Genomic DNA, 3,752 nt, shown 5'->3' with positions numbered 1-3,752 from the left:
CCCTGCACCCGGCTCCTCACGCGGTGCCTGGTAAGCAGTAGATGCTCAATGTGTGTGTGAACAATGTGCACGTGGAGTGGACAGTAAACAGGCCCTGGCGAGGCCTTGGTAAGCGTGTTCAACAACATTGGTCTCTGGCAGGTTGGATCAGGACTGATTTTAATTTCCTGTCTATATATTTCTGTATTTTGCAATTTTTCTCAGTGAGAATTAATTAATTTTGAGATCAGAGAAAAGCCTTAAATAAAGAAAGGCCAAGGAAAGAACGGCCACCTCCTGAGGTTTCAGTGAAGGGAGGACGGATTCCAGGATTCTGGGCACGTCGCTTGCAGAACCACAGAAAGGTCCGAATGGAGGTAGTCCTTGCAGGCACATGGGCTCCTGGGTGATAGTGAGTGGAGGCTGAGCTGAGCTCTTTCGGTGCCCCAAGGCCCTTGGGCTCTGGAGAAGAATGGACAAATTCAGCTATGGCATAGCAGGGAGGTTGAGCGACGAAAAGTAAGAGGCACTTTGGGGTTAAATCAGCCTTTTAAAAAAGTAGTCAAGAGGTAGGGAATGAGTTGCTTGATTTCTTCAAGAGTGTACGCAAGGAGGGCCTGGGAGGCAGTGCCAGGGTCTGGTGGGATGCCTCCTGATAAAGGGTGGTGATTTACATTGGAGCCGTGGTTCATACTGCTAAACCCTTTTTGGAGGTTCAGTTTTTCCATCTATAAAATGGTGTTAATAGTGCCTATTTGGCAGCTTTGATAGGAAGATGAAATGAGATCGTGTATTTTAGTTAGGCGCTTATTACAGGTCCTGATGCATAGTCAGTGCTCACTTACTCCAGTAACCAGGAACAAATTCTGTTGGGTCATCTCCCTACAAGAGAGAGGCTTCCCAGGATGAGAAGGCACTCCAAAATTGTGCTGTACAATTCAAGTTAGAATCCAGTTTGGGAGCCATTGCCTTGAAGCACTCACCGGCCTGTAATTGTCCATACTTTCCTCTTGCCCTAAATTTTCAAAAGGAGTGGTTGTTTTCCAAGTTACCTGCCAATATCCGCTTTTTGAATACCCCTCGGCAATTACCATTGCTATGCTAATTTAGGTGAAAAAACACAAAAGAATTCTTTTTAAAATTTCCATTAATGCAAATGGGTTTCTGGAAGTGAATATCATGGCCTTGTTTTGGTCACCGATTTGTGGGTGGACATTGTGAAATGTCATTTCCAATAGCAGGTTTGTTTTATTCTGGAACTTTGACCCCACAAGTGAAGCCTCTGCAATTCCTTTCAGTGAGAGAGACAATGGCATGACACTCTGTGCTCTTGCTTTCTTGCTTTTATGTGCACATCCGGACAAGTTGAAAGCTGAGTGGAAAGCAGCACTTTCTTAAAATTTTCCAAGGTACATTGAAGATAAACATCATTTGAATTGTTAAGTCAATCTTTACAGTAGAGGAAGAAAAATTGTGAGCAGCACAGATAGAAAACTGGGGCAAACCAATGTAAGAAATGGTCTGGCTGAGTCATGTTCCTGTTCCCGTCAGATTTTCCTGTGAAAGACATGAGGACAGACGAAGGCGGAGGTAAAGATGGCAGGTTCTTGGCCGAATCACTTGTTCTGGCTTGAGATTCTTAGCTAATGCTCTACTTCATAAGCAAACAACTCACAGAGACAAATTATGAGTCAGCACATGAAATAATTTCTAACAACAAAATAAAATACAGCCCACCACACCCATCCTCAGTGCTGTAGAGTGTTTATGGGGCATCTCTGGTATCTTTGAGGTTGTCTCATTCACTCCTTTAGTGAGCACAGATGACCACAGGGCAGTGGTGGGGAGGGCTGGGATGTGGACAAGGTGCCACAATAATCAAGGGATTAGGTAAAGCTGGTGTGTGTGTCTTTGCAGGGGAGTGGGCATAGGGGATAACAGAAATCATAAAGCCAGGAAATGGTATCTAAATGGGTCTTTAAAGTGTCAGGGAAACATGTCCAGGAAATTCAGCTTTTGAGGCCAAGAGACTGAGAATTAGGGAGGAGAAAGGGGACACCTGGGGTGGGGCATGGGCCCTGGAGGCTGCTGTGGGATCTGGGTGAGTGGGATGGCTGTGCTCAAAAGGCCAGGATGGGGCCAGCGGTCCTTCCCAGGTCACAGCAGCTGGAATGCAAAACATTCTGCACGCTCAGGACCAGGGTCTTTCTGGGTAGCCAAGGGAGGGAGGCTCAGCTAGATGTGCTTCACTTGCTTTGTGTGAGGGATTCCTCACTGTACCCACTCAGAAACCCTCAGGAGCATGCACAAAATAAGCCCTGAGATCCTGGGCCTCTTCAGACAGCTTAATATCCCTAAAGTCCTGTGACTCACAGCCCTGCAGGTGGCCAGCATTTGCCGAGAGAGGACCATCTTCTTGCCCTCCCCCTCACCTGCATCACCACACTCTGTGGTGCGGTCAGAGGCTGGGCTAGGGAGACAGAGGGCATGGGCACAAGTCCTGGCTCTGCCCCTCGCTCACCAGCTCTGAGGCCTTAGACAAGCAACTTGACCTCTCTGTGCCACTGTTTCTGTTTCCGTAAAATGGTGATAACAAAGAGTACCTAACTGGTAGGCTGTTTTAGGAATGTGTGAGATATGGCCTTAGGATAGAGCTGAGCACATCATAAGTTGTAGATGTTTTAAATACATCCCATCCATTAGTGCCTAATGTCCCCGCCAGTTTTTGGATTGAAGTATAACCAAACAGACAACATCATCAATACCAGCTGGCACTTCCAGCGCAGAAGAAATGTGAGCGTTCTGGGCGGAAAATCTGAGTTTCACCGGGAGATAAATCTATGTTCTTTTTTCATACAGCCCCAGAATCCAGGGCTGTGTTTCCAGCAGCCGTTTTATTCCCTCCCCTTTCTGTGTGTCTCTAGGCCATTTCCAATGGGTAATCTGTCTGGATGATCTGAAAATCTCAGGGGACCGATCCGCCCCTTCCGCCCGTGATAATTTTCTCTAATTGCTTTGTCCTGTTTTGAGTCTGTGCTGCTAAGCAACACGCGCTGAGCGCTTTCTCTTTCTGATTCTTCCTTTACTCTATCCAGCTCGGTAGGCGTGCCCTTTGAACCAGACACACACAGCAAACAAAGGCAAATGACAAAGGAGGAGAGAGCCAGCCAAGGGGAGCGAAAGGCCCCAGCCCCACACCGTGCAGAGCCTCGCGCTTCAGAGAGTGCAGGCGGCGCCCACAGAGCAAGGATGGGGGGTGGGGGGACGGTCCCAGCTCTGCGGAGGGGAGGCCGGGTGGGAGCTGCGTCCCCAGCGGCTGTGCTGCCGCCTAGGCAGTTGGGGGCTACCCTAGCCTTCCCAGATCAGCCTTTGGCCTCGTCTTCTCTGAGGGTCTCCTTTCCTTGCTCCTGCCTTGATGAGAGAGAGAGGGATGACGGCAAGCGCCTTGCTGGTGTGGCCCCGAGCCCAGAAGTCCCGAAAATTTGCCTGGTAGGATGTACGGGGAAGGGTCCTTTGATGAGTTTGTGGAAAAGGTTTTCAGCCCAGAAACTGTTGTGGCCTTAACACAAATGAAAGCTGCAAGGCAACCGTTTTATTTCGGATTCTGCACAAACTGCCGCAGCCGTGGCGGACCCCCGAGGCTGAGCCTGCCTCAGTCTATCCTCACTGCGCGCGTCTCCGACGCGGCAGGGCGGTCTGTAGGGCGCACCTTGGCTCTGCCCCTCCTTCTGCAGCACCCATGGGATCGCCTTCTCTGTCGGAAGAGACCGATA

At 49.4% G+C, this 3,752-nt stretch overlaps 5 annotated features.

The window, feature by feature from the left end:
- Nucleotides 764-1,304: an enhancer, noted in NCBI's record as "NANOG hESC enhancer chr8:54572274-54572814 (GRCh37/hg19 assembly coordinates)". NCBI's record gives its function as "activates a minimal SCP1, AML or CMV promoter by ChIP-STARR-seq in naive and primed H9 embryonic stem cells {active_cell/tissue: H9 hESC(naive and primed)}" and the evidence as "EXISTENCE:reporter gene assay evidence [ECO:0000049][PMID:30033119]".
- Nucleotides 1,613-2,417: an enhancer, noted in NCBI's record as "H3K27ac-H3K4me1 hESC enhancer chr8:54571161-54571965 (GRCh37/hg19 assembly coordinates)". NCBI's record gives its function as "activates a minimal SCP1, AML or CMV promoter by ChIP-STARR-seq in naive H9 embryonic stem cells {active_cell/tissue: H9 hESC(naive)}" and the evidence as "EXISTENCE:reporter gene assay evidence [ECO:0000049][PMID:30033119]".
- Nucleotides 2,418-3,222: an enhancer, noted in NCBI's record as "NANOG-H3K27ac-H3K4me1 hESC enhancer chr8:54570356-54571160 (GRCh37/hg19 assembly coordinates)". NCBI's record gives its function as "activates a minimal SCP1, AML or CMV promoter by ChIP-STARR-seq in naive H9 embryonic stem cells {active_cell/tissue: H9 hESC(naive)}" and the evidence as "EXISTENCE:reporter gene assay evidence [ECO:0000049][PMID:30033119]".
- Nucleotides 2,868-2,947: an enhancer, noted in NCBI's record as "active region_27357". NCBI's record gives its function as "activates an Ori minimal core promoter by ATAC-STARR-seq in GM12878 lymphoblastoid cells {active_cell/tissue: GM12878}" and the evidence as "EXISTENCE:reporter gene assay evidence [ECO:0000049][PMID:35858748]".
- Nucleotides 3,248-3,367: a silencer, noted in NCBI's record as "silent region_19192". NCBI's record gives its function as "represses an Ori minimal core promoter by ATAC-STARR-seq in GM12878 lymphoblastoid cells {active_cell/tissue: GM12878}" and the evidence as "EXISTENCE:reporter gene assay evidence [ECO:0000049][PMID:35858748]".

The sequence above is a fragment of the Homo sapiens genome, chromosome 8 (assembly GCF_000001405.40).
Source record: "Homo sapiens chromosome 8, GRCh38.p14 Primary Assembly".
Classification (NCBI taxonomy): domain Eukaryota; kingdom Metazoa; phylum Chordata; class Mammalia; order Primates; family Hominidae; genus Homo; species Homo sapiens.
The sequence above is the reverse complement of the archived record's forward strand: the minus strand, read 5'-3'. Positions and strand labels throughout refer to the sequence as shown.